The sequence below is a fragment of the Homo sapiens genome, chromosome 17 (assembly GCF_000001405.40).
Source record: "Homo sapiens chromosome 17, GRCh38.p14 Primary Assembly".
NCBI classification, from domain to species: Eukaryota; Metazoa; Chordata; class Mammalia; order Primates; family Hominidae; genus Homo; species Homo sapiens.
In genome coordinates this window covers 75,866,223-75,879,356 of record NC_000017.11, presented here as the reverse complement: position 1 = coordinate 75,879,356, position 13,134 = coordinate 75,866,223, and the positions used below count along the sequence as shown (strand labels likewise).

General features: G+C 57.2%; 1 protein-coding gene across 3 annotated transcripts, besides 9 other annotated features; it reads left to right on the top strand.

The window, feature by feature from the left end:
* Window positions 486-1,401: an enhancer, noted in NCBI's record as "H3K27ac-H3K4me1 hESC enhancer chr17:73874037-73874952 (GRCh37/hg19 assembly coordinates)". NCBI's record gives its function as "activates a minimal SCP1, AML or CMV promoter by ChIP-STARR-seq in naive H9 embryonic stem cells {active_cell/tissue: H9 hESC(naive)}" and the evidence as "EXISTENCE:reporter gene assay evidence [ECO:0000049][PMID:30033119]".
* Window positions 486-1,451: a biological region, named in NCBI's record as "H3K27ac-H3K4me1 hESC enhancer GRCh37_chr17:73874037-73874952".
* Window positions 592-941: a silencer, noted in NCBI's record as "silent region_8992". NCBI's record gives its function as "represses an Ori minimal core promoter by ATAC-STARR-seq in GM12878 lymphoblastoid cells {active_cell/tissue: GM12878}" and the evidence as "EXISTENCE:reporter gene assay evidence [ECO:0000049][PMID:35858748]".
* On the top strand, window positions 776-5,193 carry TRIM47 (tripartite motif containing 47). Of its 3 annotated transcripts, none has more exons than NM_033452.3 (6): window positions 776-1,483; window positions 2,544-2,639; window positions 2,865-3,095; window positions 3,258-3,456; window positions 3,883-3,957; window positions 4,234-5,193. In NM_033452.3, the coding sequence occupies exons 1-6, from the start codon at window positions 809-811 to the stop codon at window positions 4,872-4,874; spliced, it is 1,917 nt and encodes a 638-aa protein (NP_258411.2). In that variant the 5' UTR covers window positions 776-808; the 3' UTR covers window positions 4,875-5,193. The 3 variants fall into 3 exon arrangements, with proteins under 3 accessions (NP_258411.2, XP_005257844.1, XP_005257845.1); XM_005257787.5 differs by having other exon boundaries at window positions 776-1,506; XM_005257788.6 differs by lacking the exon at window positions 776-1,483 and adding an exon at window positions 1,533-1,636.
* Window positions 1,072-1,451: a silencer, noted in NCBI's record as "silent region_8991". NCBI's record gives its function as "represses an Ori minimal core promoter by ATAC-STARR-seq in GM12878 lymphoblastoid cells {active_cell/tissue: GM12878}" and the evidence as "EXISTENCE:reporter gene assay evidence [ECO:0000049][PMID:35858748]".
* Window positions 1,402-2,317: an enhancer, noted in NCBI's record as "H3K27ac-H3K4me1 hESC enhancer chr17:73873121-73874036 (GRCh37/hg19 assembly coordinates)". NCBI's record gives its function as "activates a minimal SCP1, AML or CMV promoter by ChIP-STARR-seq in naive H9 embryonic stem cells {active_cell/tissue: H9 hESC(naive)}" and the evidence as "EXISTENCE:reporter gene assay evidence [ECO:0000049][PMID:30033119]".
* Window positions 1,462-1,641: a silencer, noted in NCBI's record as "silent region_8990". NCBI's record gives its function as "represses an Ori minimal core promoter by ATAC-STARR-seq in GM12878 lymphoblastoid cells {active_cell/tissue: GM12878}" and the evidence as "EXISTENCE:reporter gene assay evidence [ECO:0000049][PMID:35858748]".
* Window positions 2,318-3,233: an enhancer, noted in NCBI's record as "H3K4me1 hESC enhancer chr17:73872205-73873120 (GRCh37/hg19 assembly coordinates)". NCBI's record gives its function as "activates a minimal SCP1, AML or CMV promoter by ChIP-STARR-seq in naive H9 embryonic stem cells {active_cell/tissue: H9 hESC(naive)}" and the evidence as "EXISTENCE:reporter gene assay evidence [ECO:0000049][PMID:30033119]".
* Window positions 3,128-3,197: an enhancer, noted in NCBI's record as "active region_12783". NCBI's record gives its function as "activates an Ori minimal core promoter by ATAC-STARR-seq in GM12878 lymphoblastoid cells {active_cell/tissue: GM12878}" and the evidence as "EXISTENCE:reporter gene assay evidence [ECO:0000049][PMID:35858748]".
* Window positions 9,794-10,720: an enhancer, noted in NCBI's record as "H3K27ac-H3K4me1 hESC enhancer chr17:73864718-73865644 (GRCh37/hg19 assembly coordinates)". NCBI's record gives its function as "activates a minimal SCP1, AML or CMV promoter by ChIP-STARR-seq in primed H9 embryonic stem cells {active_cell/tissue: H9 hESC(primed)}" and the evidence as "EXISTENCE:reporter gene assay evidence [ECO:0000049][PMID:30033119]".

Below are 13,134 nucleotides of genomic sequence, written 5' to 3'. Positions count from 1 at the left end.
AGCTGGGCGCTGTGGCTCACGCCTGTAATCCCAGCACTTTGGGAGGCCGAGGCAGGTGGATCACCTGAGGTCACGAGTTCAAGACCAGCCTGGACAAGGTGAAACTCCGTCTCTACAAAAAAATACAAAAATTTGCCTGGTGTGGTGGCAAGCGCCTATAATTCCAGCTACTTGGGAGGCTAAGGCAGGAGAATCACTTGAATCCGGGAGGCGGAGGTTGCAGTGAGCCGAGATAGCGCCCCTGCACTCCAGCCTGGGCGACAAGAGAGGAACTCTGTCTCAAAAAAAAAAAAAAAAAGAGTCGCTAAGGGGCAAAAACATATGTACATCAGCAGTTATTTTTCTCTGCAGTCAGCAGCTCAGGAACTTTGCTAAGGGTGCCAGGGAGGGGTCGAGCGCAAAGGTGCAGGCATGACACAGCTAGACGCGCCCAGCCCCTGCGGAGCGCTGGCCTGGCCCAGAAGGACCAGAGGGATGGAGGCTGAGTCCTTCCCATTCCTTCCACTGTACCTCTCGCGTTCTCCGCCCGCGCTCACTCAGTTTCACACCCTTTCAGCAGCGCCCTTCCTTAGGACCACGCGGACTCCCCTGGGGGTCGCGCGGGCTCGGAGGCCTCCCTGCGTTGTCTGGGCGGGGACTGGGAGTCCGCGGGCCCGCAGGCGGGCGGTGCTGCGGGGCGGGCCGAGCTGGGGGCGGGCGGGGGCCGGAGCCCTGGCCTAGGTCCCAGGGGGAGGTGCCGCGGCGCGAACGGCCCGGGTCCCTCCCAGGCCGGAGCACAATCGGCGGCGCCCTGGGCGGCCGCGGAGTCATGGACGGCAGTGGACCCTTCAGCTGCCCCATCTGCCTAGAGCCACTCCGGGAGCCGGTGACGCTGCCCTGCGGCCACAACTTCTGTCTCGCCTGCCTGGGCGCGCTCTGGCCGCATCGTGGCGCGAGTGGAGCCGGCGGACCCGGAGGCGCGGCCCGCTGCCCGCTGTGCCAGGAGCCCTTCCCCGACGGCCTTCAGCTCCGCAAGAACCACACGCTGTCCGAGCTGCTGCAGCTCCGCCAGGGCTCGGGCCCCGGGTCCGGCCCCGGCCCGGCCCCTGCCCTGGCCCCGGAGCCCTCGGCACCCAGCGCGCTGCCCAGTGTCCCGGAGCCGTCGGCCCCCTGCGCTCCCGAGCCGTGGCCCGCGGGCGAAGAGCCAGTGCGCTGCGACGCGTGCCCCGAGGGCGCGGCCCTGCCCGCCGCGCTGTCCTGCCTCTCCTGCCTCGCCTCCTTTTGCCCCGCGCACCTGGGCCCGCACGAGCGCAGCCCCGCCCTCCGCGGACACCGCCTGGTGCCGCCGCTGCGCCGGCTAGAGGAGAGCCTGTGCCCGCGCCACCTACGGCCGCTCGAGCGCTACTGCCGCGCGGAGCGCGTGTGTCTGTGCGAGGCCTGCGCCGCACAGGAGCACCGCGGCCACGAGCTGGTGCCGCTGGAGCAGGAGCGCGCGCTTCAGGAGGTGGGCTCCGGGGGCACACTCGGGTGAGCCGGGGCTGGTGACCGACCGCGCGCGAGCGGGCCGAGGACCTTGGACCCCCCAGTCTTCCCGGGTTGGGTCTTAATCTCCTCCTCTAACCTGAGGATCTTTGCGGTCCCTTCCAGCCTTGACAAGGTCATCTGCTGGCGGTGATGGAGATGGGAAGGGAGGAAGGAGGGACGTGAGAACAGGACAAGGACGCGAAGAGCGGGCAGGGGACCTGAAGCCGGGCCGGGGTCTATGGGGGTGTAGGCGGGAGGGAGCCGGGTTAGGCCCGCGGGGTTCCGGTAGCGTGGCTGCTGCTCCCGCCCGGAGGGTCACGCCGGTCTCAGCTCAGATTTGCCCTGGGCTGAGGCAGCAGCTTTCGATGGGTGTGGCAGGCGGCAGGAGGGCGGCAGAGGGCGACCGGGCACACAGATTCTCTGTCCAGCTGTTCCGGGGGCCAGTGGTGGGAGCATGTGAGCCGCGGCCTCTACCTCCCGCCCCCAGTTTCCTTTGGCCTCCAGCCCGGTCTTGGCGCCTCTGGCCAAGGGATTTTCCGTTTCTCCTGCCTGGAGCAGTGACTCATAAGACCTAGGGGATTTGCCCGGAATCCCCTTTTTTCCAGGCCTGGACTGTGGATGCAGGCTCTTTGGGAACAGTGATCCTCAGGACAGCTTAATGCCTCCTTGTGCAGTCACCCCTCCGCCGCCCACCTCCCAACCTAACTGGCTTACTCTCTGCCTCTTCCCCGCCGGAGGAAGTTCTCAAATTCATCTGAGCAACACTGAGACCAGCGGACGGCCCTGTACTAGGCCTCCTGTCAGAGACCCGAGGCAGACACCCAGTCAGCCTGCACGCCCCCCAGGCGTTCAGGAAAGGCACCAGCCTGGGCTGCAGGCACCTCTGGCATATTATGGGACATCGTGGCCACTCCAGTCCCACCTGATGCACAGATACCACTCCCCAGTCACCCCCTTCTCTCCCCTGGCAAGGCCTGGGACCCGAGTGTAGGGCTGTGGCCTCTGCCAGACCTCACACTCATGGAGGGTGTTGTCCACAGGCTGAGCAGTCCAAAGTCCTGAGCGCCGTGGAGGACCGCATGGACGAGCTGGGTGCTGGCATTGCACAGTCCAGGCGCACAGTGGCCCTCATCAAGGTCAAACACCCCTCCCTCAGCATGGAACAATCCACTCCAAACAAACCATGCCCATACCTACTGAGCACAAGTGTCCCCTGACCTGGCCCAGATCCAGGACAGGCTCAGTCTGGCCCCTCTGTCCCCTCAAGAGGGCCGGTGGGAAGCCGGGGTCAGGGAAGGAGGGGGGTACAGTCCGGGACGGTTCTTTGCCCTCATTGCCCCCTCTACTGTCGTCCTGTGCAGAGTGCAGCCGTAGCAGAGCGGGAGAGGGTGAGCCGGCTGTTTGCAGATGCTGCGGCCGCCCTGCAGGGCTTCCAGACCCAGGTGCTGGGCTTCATCGAGGAGGGGGAAGCTGCCATGCTAGGCCGCTCCCAGGGTGACCTGCGGCGACAGGAGGAACAGCGCAGCCGCCTGAGCCGAGCCCGCCAGAATCTCAGCCAGGTCCCTGAAGCTGACTCAGTCAGCTTCCTGCAGGTGAAGGCCGCTCTGGGGGCCACGGAAGGAACAGAAGCTGGGACAGGTGGGGTGGAGGGAGGAGGAGGCAGTGGGTGCATGACTTCCTGGCAGAGCTGCCTCCACCCCCAGCAAGGAGGAGCCATGGCCAGCAGCACTTTAATGGGCATTTGTCTGGCACAGGAGCTGCTGGCACTAAGGCTGGCCCTGGAGGATGGGTGTGGCCCTGGGCCTGGACCCCCGAGGGAGCTCAGCTTCACCAAATCATCCCAAGCTGTCCGTGCAGTGAGAGACATGCTGGCCGTGGCCTGCGTCAACCAGTGGGAGCAGCTGAGGGGGCCGGGTGGCAACGAGGATGGGCCACAGAAGCTGGACTCGGAAGGTGGGCACCGCCCCACGCCCCCCCGATGACTCACCCTCTGCCAGCCTCTCGCACAGGCCCCCAGGCCTGGCGCCCATCCAGAAGTGGAGGAGGAAAATTGTGCCTGGCACAGGGAGGAGCCCAAATCCTGCCAGTGACTAGAGCTGCCACCCTGTGGGGATCAATCAGCCCCTTGGACCTGGGGTAGAGGGGGCTTCTCCTAGCCCACCCTCTAGCTCCAGAGGGCTGTGGCCCGGGAAGCACATGGGGCAAGAGGCAGAACACAGGCAACGGGCATGTGTGTGAGCACAGCGTGCCACATCTGGGTGGTGCTTGCTCCCTGGTGGCTCTGGACTCTGGGAGGAAGTGAAGGGGGTAGGGATTGTAGTCACAGGTTCAGAGGGGGGCAGTCTGGGGGCGTTCTCACCACTGTCTCCTCTTCTACAGCTGATGCTGAGCCCCAAGACCTCGAGAGTACGAACCTCTTGGAGAGTGAAGCTCCCAGGGACTATTTCCTCAAGTGTAAGTGGACGCCCGTGCCCCCTCCACTCACACTGGGCCCTCCCAGGGCTGCTGGGCTGGTCCCAGCAGGGCCCTGGCACACAAGGGTTAGGATTCCTCTCCCCAGTTTGTGGGGAGAGCTAGGGCAGCTCCTGGGGTGGTCCCCGGCGGGGCTGGGTTGTGCCGGTTGGAAAGCAGGGGAGAGGCTGTGTTTTGGGGGGGTGGGTACTTGGGGAGGGGCCGTGCCCTCTGAGCCTGGCCCTGAGCCCTGCCTCTCTCTTCTGTCCACGGGATCAGTTGCCTATATTGTGGATTTGGACAGCGACACAGCAGACAAGTTCCTGCAGCTGTTTGGAACCAAAGGTGTCAAGAGGGTGCTGTGTCCTATCAACTACCCCTTGTCGCCCACCCGCTTCACCCATTGTGAGCAGGTGCTGGGCGAGGGTGCCCTGGACCGAGGCACCTACTACTGGGAGGTGGAGATTATCGAGGGCTGGGTCAGCATGGGGGTCATGGCCGAAGACTTCTCCCCACAAGAGCCCTACGACCGCGGCCGGCTGGGCCGCAACGCCCACTCCTGCTGCCTGCAGTGGAATGGACGCAGCTTCTCCGTCTGGTTTCATGGGCTGGAGGCTCCCCTGCCCCACCCCTTCTCGCCCACGGTTGGGGTCTGCCTGGAATACGCTGACCGTGCCTTGGCCTTCTATGCTGTACGGGACGGCAAGATGAGCCTCCTGCGGAGGCTGAAGGCCTCCCGGCCCCGCCGGGGTGGCATCCCGGCCTCCCCCATTGACCCCTTCCAGAGCCGCCTGGACAGTCACTTTGCGGGGCTCTTCACCCACAGACTCAAGCCTGCCTTCTTCCTGGAGAGTGTGGACGCCCACTTGCAGATCGGGCCCCTCAAGAAGTCCTGCATATCCGTGCTGAAGAGGAGGTGATGCCGGGCACGGGCGCTCCTGCTGCCGTCTCTGCTCCAGGAAGCTGCCTCCTCTGGGCCCTCTCCTTCGTCTGGGAAGGCACCAGCATGAGTCCCACACACCCAGCCTTCTCATTTCTAGAGGCTTCCACCTTTTTATACACTCAGCCTTCCCTCTCCCAGGCAGGAGGACCCCCAGACCCTGTTCCCCTGCAGACCTCACTTCTGGGAGACAGAGCTACAGCTGGGACAGCTCCAAGCTACCCTAACCCCTCCTTTCCCAGGTTTCTAGAATAGTGTCTGGCATGTAGTAGATGCTCAATAAACACTTGTTGAATGAATGACTCCTTTTCCATCCTCTCTACCCAAGGATTCCCAGAACCGCTCTCATTTGTAAGCTGGCTGAGTGGGCAGGCAGGAGAGGGGCCGGAGCCCCTCGTCCCAGGATTCCTGTTGAGAGGGAGCCCTGGCCTGGGAGAAGGGGGCTGGAACAGGGTACCTGCCCTTTGGGGCACCCCCACTCCCTTTTTCCCAGCACGGGCAGCCAGAGGTGGCTTCTCCAGCCCCACTGCCGTCCTGGCTGCTTGAGTGTTTACTTGGGATGGCCTGACTCCCACCAGCTATTTTTATCTTTCATGCCGCAGCCTAGTTCTGGACCTGCCTTTGCTGTTTGTACTGTTTGTGCCCAGCATTAAATGCAGGCATCACCCCTCCAGGAACAGGGCAGGACCCCTGGGCGTGGGCAAGAGAGTTTTGAGACCTGGAGCTTCCTTCACACATAGCCCTCAGCCCACAGAGCCGGCCCAGGGTGTGGCTGGAGCCCAGAACATCTACAATAAGAGAACTTATGTCCTGGCCGGGCGCGGTGGCTCATGCCTGTTATCCCAGCACTTTGGGAGGCCAAGGCAGGCAGATCACTTGAGGTCAGGAGTTCGAGACCAGCCTAGGCAACATGGTGAAACCCTCGTCTCTACTAAAAATACAAAAATTAGCCGGGCATGGTTGTGGGTGCCTGTACTCCCAGCTACTCAGGGGCCTGAGGCAGGAGAATCACTTGAACCCGGAAGGCAGAGGTTGCAGTGAGCCGAGATCAATTATACCACTGCACTCCAGCCTGGGCGACAGAGCAAGACTCCATCTCAAAAAATAAAAGGACTTATGTCCCCCTCTGGAATCTTCTTGCCCTCCATGCTGGGGACACCTGTGACCTGTGCCCCAGGAGAGCCTCTGCCTCTCTTCTGGGAGGGCCCAGTGCCCTCTGCTGCCCTAGAACCTGAGCCAGGCCTGGGGCGCCCTGAGGCTACAGTCCAGTGTGTTTCCAGGCCCAGGCCAGCTCACTCCTGCCTGGGTTCTGTGTGGCCCAGGTGCACCCCAGAGAGGGGCTGTGGCCGAGGGCAAGGGCAGACAGAGAGGCCTCTCAGACAGACGCCCAGCTCAAGGTCAGGCGGGATAATGGGTGAGTTATGCAGCCAGACAGCAAGGCCATACAAGTCCAGCCCCAGCAGCCTCAGCAGCTAAAAATAGCCCCTCCCATAGAGCCTGCCTGGGCTCTAGCAGCCAGGATGTTGTTTTTCCGGGCGGGGCCTCCTTGCCCCTGGTGCTTTGTGTTTTCAACATCGTTCCCTTGGCAGCCATGGGTCCCCAGCTCACCCGGCAGTGAAGGGGCTGGTGGAGAAGGCTGCCCCGCTGTCCCCTTGGATGCTCCTTGGACCACCTACTACAAGCCTCCTACCTTGCAGAGGACCGCTCCCACCCCTCAGGCCACCTGCTGTCTCATCTTGTCCCCCAACTTGGCACTCCCTACCCCACAGGCGCCCCTCGCCAGGGAACCTTCTGGTCTCTGACCCTGCAGGAAGTGTTGGCATGTCCTGGAATGTGAGCTAGACAGGCCTGGTGCTTTCTTGGTGGAATTCAGGCATGACTAGTCACACCTGTGGCCACAGACACAGCCACTCAGCAAGCATGCCATCTGCAGAGTGGCCTGTAGCTCCAGAGTCTTGCGTGGAAGTTTGGGAAACAAACATCTCTTTAAAAAAATATTGAGGCTGGGCATGATGGCTCACACCTGTAATCCCAGCACTTTGGGAGGCTGAGGTGGGAGGATCACTCAAGCCCAGGAGTTTGAGATCAGTATGGCCAACATGGTGAGACCTCATCGCTACAAAAAACAAAAATAAAAAAAAAATTGGGGCCAGGCGCGGTGGCTTACGCCTGTAATCCCAGCACTTTGGGAGGCCGAGGCAGGCGGATCACGAGGTCAGGAGATCGAGACCATCCTGGCTAACATGGTGAAACCCTGTCTCTACTAAAAATACAAAAAATTAGCCGGGCACTGTGGGGGGCGCCTGTAGTCCCAGCTACTCGGGAGGCTGAGGCAGGAGAATGGCGTGAACCCGGGAGGCGGAGCTTGCAGTGAGCTGAGATAGCGCCACTGCACTCCAGCCTGGGCGATAGAGTGAAACTCCGTCTCAAAAAAAAAAAAAATTGGCCAGGCGTGATAGCTCATGTCTGTAATCTCAGCACTTTGGGAGGCCAAGACGGGTGGATCACGAGGTCAGGAGTTCAAGACCAGCGTGGCCAACATGGTGAAACCGTGTCTCTACTAAAAATACAAAAAAAATTAGCTGGGCGTGGTGGCAGGCGCCTGTAATCCCAGCTACTTGCGAGGCTGAGGCAGAGAATCACTTGAACCCAGCAGGCAGAGGTTGCAGTGAGTCGAGATCGTGCCACTGCACTCCAGCCTGGGAGACAGAGTGAGACTCCGTCTCAAAAAACAAACAAAAACAAAAAGCCAGCATGGTGGTGCACGCCTGTGGTCTCAGCTACTTGGGAGGCTGAGATGGGAGGGTCCCTTGAGCCCAGGAGGTTGGGGCTGCAGTGAGCCATGTTCATGCCACTATACTCCAGCCTGGGTGACAGGGCGAGACCCTGTCTCAAAAATAAATACATAAAATAAAATACATTGGCTGGGCGCGGTGGCTCACGCCTGTAATCCCAGCACCTTGGGAGGCCGAGGCGGGCGGATCACGAGGTCAGGAGATCGAGACCACCTTGGCTAACACGGTGAAACCCTGTCTCTACTGAAAATACAAAAAATTAGCCGGGCACGGTGGTGGGCGCCTGTAGTCCCAGCTACTCGGGAGGCTGAGGCAGGAGAATGGCATGAACCTGGGAGGCGGAGCTTGCAGTGAGCCGAGATAGCGCCACTGCAGTCCGGCCTGGGCAAAACAGCGAGACTCTGTCTCAAAAAATAAATAAATAAATAAATAAAAAATATAAATAAATAAATAAAATACATTTTAAAATGTAGAGACGGGGTTCTGTACCCTGCCTGCAACAAGCATTTTAATCCCATATCCCTGTATTGCAGCTTTGCAGCTCAGAGCCAGGGATTGGCTGGCCCCTGGGTGCACAGCTAGCAAGGGGCTGGCTCTTCAGATCCCAAGTTTCAGACTCCGAAGCCTGGAGTGTTAGCTACAATCTCGCATTTCCTTTGTCACCCTGGAGTGTGAGAGTGTGTGTGTGAGTGTGTGTGTGTGGTCTGCATGCCTATGTGTTTTGTGTGTATGCGTATATGTGCGTATATCTGTATACATGTGTGTATGTCTTCGTGTGTGTCTGTGTGCTGTGTGTGAGTGTCTGCCTGGGTGAACGCCTGTGTGTGAATGCATGTTGCTCCAGCCCAGTGACTTTTCCAACAATGCTCTGAGAAGACCTAGGAGGAGGTGCACTGAGCGGGGTGGGCTGGGGAAAGGCTGGGGGAGGTCCCTCAGCACCCCTGCCAACACCTTAATCAGAGAAGCATTTGCCTATTTGATTCAAGGCTCCTTTAAAAAAAGAAACTGTGAAAAAGAAAAAAATGAGAAAACCACCGATCTAGTCTCAACGTTCCCCTCCCACTACCATTTACAGAGGAAGAAACTGAGGCACAGGGGTACTGGGGGGGCTGCCCACTGTTACCCAGTCCAGAACACTCTTTCCATACCGCCCAGCCTAGGTGTGTCTTGTGCTTAGAAATGCCTAAACAAGCCAGGCGTGGTAGCTCATGCCTGTAATCCCAGCACTTTGGGAGGCTGAGGTGGGTGGATCACTTGAGATCAGGAGTTCGAGACCAGCCCCGTCTCTACTAAAAAATACAAAAATTAGCCGGGAGTGGTGGCACGTGCCTGTAGTCCCAGCTACTCGGGAGGGTGAGGCAAAAGAATCACTTGAATCTGGGGGGCGGAGGTTGCAGTGAGCCGAGATCACACCCCTGCACTCCAGCCTGGGTAACAGAGCAAGACTCTGTCTCCAAAAAACAAGAAATGTCTAAACACACACGCACACATACACACACCTCACACTCACACACACAGAGCCCTGCTTCCCAGCGCTGCCGCCTGTGTATATGCTGCCCTCGGCTGGGTCCCAGTTCCCATGGTCACCGGAGCCTTGGCAAGGCTGCCCGAGGGTCTGTGGCCTCAGAAGCTCCCGCCAGAGCCCCCGCCAGGCCCAGACAATGGTGCAGGGTGAGGGGTTTCCGAGGCTTTGGCGCTGGTTGCTGGGCCTGGCTGCTCTGGGCCAGGCAGGGCGCCAACCTCCACTCCCGCTTTGTTTCTGTGGGAAAATGAGCTGGGGTTCCAACCAACAGCCTGAGGAAGAGCTTGGACTGCTCCCATGGCCTCCCCACACCCCAGGAGGAAACAGACCCCCAGACTTCTTTCCTCCCTTCTCCTCATCCTTGTCCTCCCCTTCCCAAGGCCCGAGGAACACTCACAGAAGTGCCTCCCTTCACCCCCTCTCCTCCCAGGCACAGCGGGTGCGGCTGGACTGTGACTCCCCGAGGCCTGGCCAGGAGGATGGGGCCGAACTGGGTGTGGCTGAGGCTGGCAGCTACTGCATCTCTCCCAGGAGGAAAGTACTCTAGTACTTCTTTATCGCGGGGGATGAGTTCCCAGAACCCCCGTGGGTGCCTGATGCTGCAATGGTACAGAATCCTATATGCACTATGGTTTTTTCTATCTGGTAAGTAACCAAGATGGCTAAAAGTAAACAATGGGCGGGCAGTCCCTACAGTGTGGATTCCCCGAACAAAGGGATGATTCTTGTCCCAGGCAGGCTAGATGAAGTGGGATGGTGTGAGATTTCATCATGCTACTCAGAACGGCATGCGATCTAAAACTTATGAGTTGTTTACTTCTGGAATCTTCCATTTAACATTTTTGGACTGCAGTAGACTGTGGGTAAGCAAAACCATGGATAACAGGGGACTACTGGAGCACTGAGCAGGGTCTGTGTCCCGTTCAACCCCAAACACCCCACACACATTTGATGCCGACATTCAAAATCTGGAAGGTGGCCAGGTGTGCTGGCTCATGCCTGTAATGCCAGCACTTTGGGAGGCCGAGGAGGGCAGATCACGAGGTCAGGAGTTCAAGACCAGCCTTACCAACATAGTGAAACCCCGTCTCTACTAAAATACAAAAATTAGCTGGGCATGGTGGTGCACACCTGTAATCCCAGCTACTCAGAAGGCTGAGGCAGGAGAATCTCCTGAACCCGGGAGGCGGAGGTTGCAGTGAGCTGAGATCGCACCACTGTACTCCAGCCTGGGCAACAGAGCAAGACTCCATCTCAAACAAACAAAATCTAGAAGGCGAGATCATTCCCCGTCCACACAGTCAGATCTGGGAGATGCATAAGAAATGAAGGAAGCCCCTGGTGGTCCTTGTGGGCCTCACTTGGGATGGAGAGCCTCCGTGTTCTCCCCACGTGCTCCTGACACCCTCAGGGGTATATGGAACCAAATAGAGATGGGGTCTTGCTATGTTGACCCGGCTGGTCTCCAACTTCCGGGCCCAAGCAATCTTCCCACTTCATCTTCCCAAAGTGCTGGGATTATAGGCATGAGCCACAATGCCCACCCCCGGCCTGTACTTTATCTTTAAATGACATTCAAACTTTGAATTTTACTCAATAGCTGGGACTACAGGCGTGCACCACCACGCCCAGCTAATTTTTGTATTTTTAGCCCAATGCTGCTTTAATATACAAGCCCAGCCCAATATTGCTTTAATATAAAAAACAGGCCAGGCATGGTGGCTCATGCCTGTAATCCTAGCATTTTGGGAGGCCGAGGCGGGCGGATCACCTGAGGTCAGGAGTTTGAGACCAGTATGGCTAACATGGTGAAACCCCGTCTCTACTAAAAATACAAAAATTAGCCAGGCATGGTGGCTAATCCCAGCTACTTGGGAGGCTGAAGCAGGATGATGGCTTGAATCCATGAGGCGGAGGTTGCAGTGAGCTGAGACGGCACCATTGCACTCCAGCCTGGGTTATAAGAAGGAGACTCCGACTGAAATAAAATAAAATAAATAAAAAACAGCTGGGCTTGGGGGCTGACACCTATAATCCCAAAACTTTGGGAGGCTGAGGTGGGAGGATCGCTTGAGCCCAGGAGTTGGAGACCAGCCTGGGCAACATAGCAAGATCCCGTCTCTACCAAAAAAAAATAAATAAACAAATAAAAAACTAGCCAGGAGTGGTGGCGTGAGCCTGTAGTCCCAGTCACTCAGAAGCCTGAGGTGGGAGTACTGGTTGTTTGAGCCCCAGAGTTCAAGGTTGCAGTGAGCTGTGATCACACTACCACACTTCAGCCTGGGTGACAGAGATCCATGGGGGATCCCAAGCATCTGTTTTTCAGGGGCTAAGATTAGCCCACACCTAAGTTTTCCAGACACTACATCTTGTTCTACCCGTTTTGATAGGAAACTTTCACTCACTCATTCAACAATAATGTATCAGGGCTGGGCACAGTGGCTTATGCCTGTAATCCCAACATCTGAGAGGCTGAGGCAAGAGGATCGCTTGAGGTGAGAAGTTCCAGACCTGCCTGGGCAACACAGTGAGACCCCATGCCTAAAATAAAAATAAAAAATTAGGCTAGGTGAGGTGGCTCATACCTGTAATCCTAGCACCTTGAGAAGCCAAGGCAAGGGGACTCTTGAGCTCAGGAGTTCAAGACTACCCTGGGCAACATAGCAAGACCTTGTCTCTGTAAAAATAAAAACAAATTAGCCGGGGTGGTGGTGCGTGCCTGCAGGCCCAGCTGTTCAGGAGGCTGAGGTGGGAGGATCACTTGAGCCCAGGAGTTCAAGACTACAGTGAGCTACCATTGCACCACTGAACTCCCGCCTGGGTGACAGAGTGAGTCCTTGTCTCTAAAACAAAACAAAACTATTGTATATATATATAAAAAATATATATATTATGTAGAGTGTCTCTCTATGTAGATACAGAGACGCCAACTCAAATATATATTATATATTATATTATACATATACAATTATCATATATTATGTATTTTATATATATAATATATATATATATTTGAGTTGGAGTCTCACTCTGTCTCTCAAGCTGGAGTGCAGTGGCACAATCTCAGCTCACTGCCACCTCTGCCTCCCGGGTTCAAGTGATTCTCCTACCTCAACCTCCCGAGTAGTTGTGATTACAGGTGTGCACCACCACACTGAGCTAATTTTTGCATTTTTAGTAGAGATGGGGTTTCTCCATGTTGTCCAGGCTGGTCTTGAACTCCTGACCTCGGGTGATCCGCCCACCTCAGCTTCCCAAAGTGCTGGGATTACAGGCGTGAGCCACCGCACATGGCCAACAAGACAATATTTAATCACTGTAGGGCACAGTGCTCAGTGCCAGGGATACAGCAGTGGGCGTCACAGAGATGCCCCTGTCCTCACAGGCACCACACAAACGGCTGTGGGATAGGTGTCACTGTACTAAGTACTATCAAAGAAAAGCACAGCAACCCCACTTCTGGATACGTATCCAAAATAACTGAAAGCAGGCCGTGTGCAGTGGCTCACACCTGTAATCCCAGCACTTTGGGAGGTCGAGGCAGGTTGATCACTTGAGGCCAGGAGTTCGAGACCAGCCTGGCCAACAGGGTGAAACCCCCATCTCTACTAAAAATACAAAATTAGCCGGGTGTGGTGGCAGGAGCCTGTAATCCCAGCTACTCTGGAGGCTGAGGCAGGAGAATCCCTTGAACCCAGGAGGTGGAGGCTACAGTGAGCCAAGATCACACCATTCCACTCCAGCCTGGGACAATCCAAGTGTCCATAGACACATGAATAAATAAGCAAAAAAAAAAATGTATATACACACACAAAGTGGACTGTTATTCATCCCTAAACAATCAAGAAGTTCTGACATATGCTACACTTTGGATAAACTTTGAAGACATTATGCCAAGTAAAATAAGCCAATCACAAAAAGAC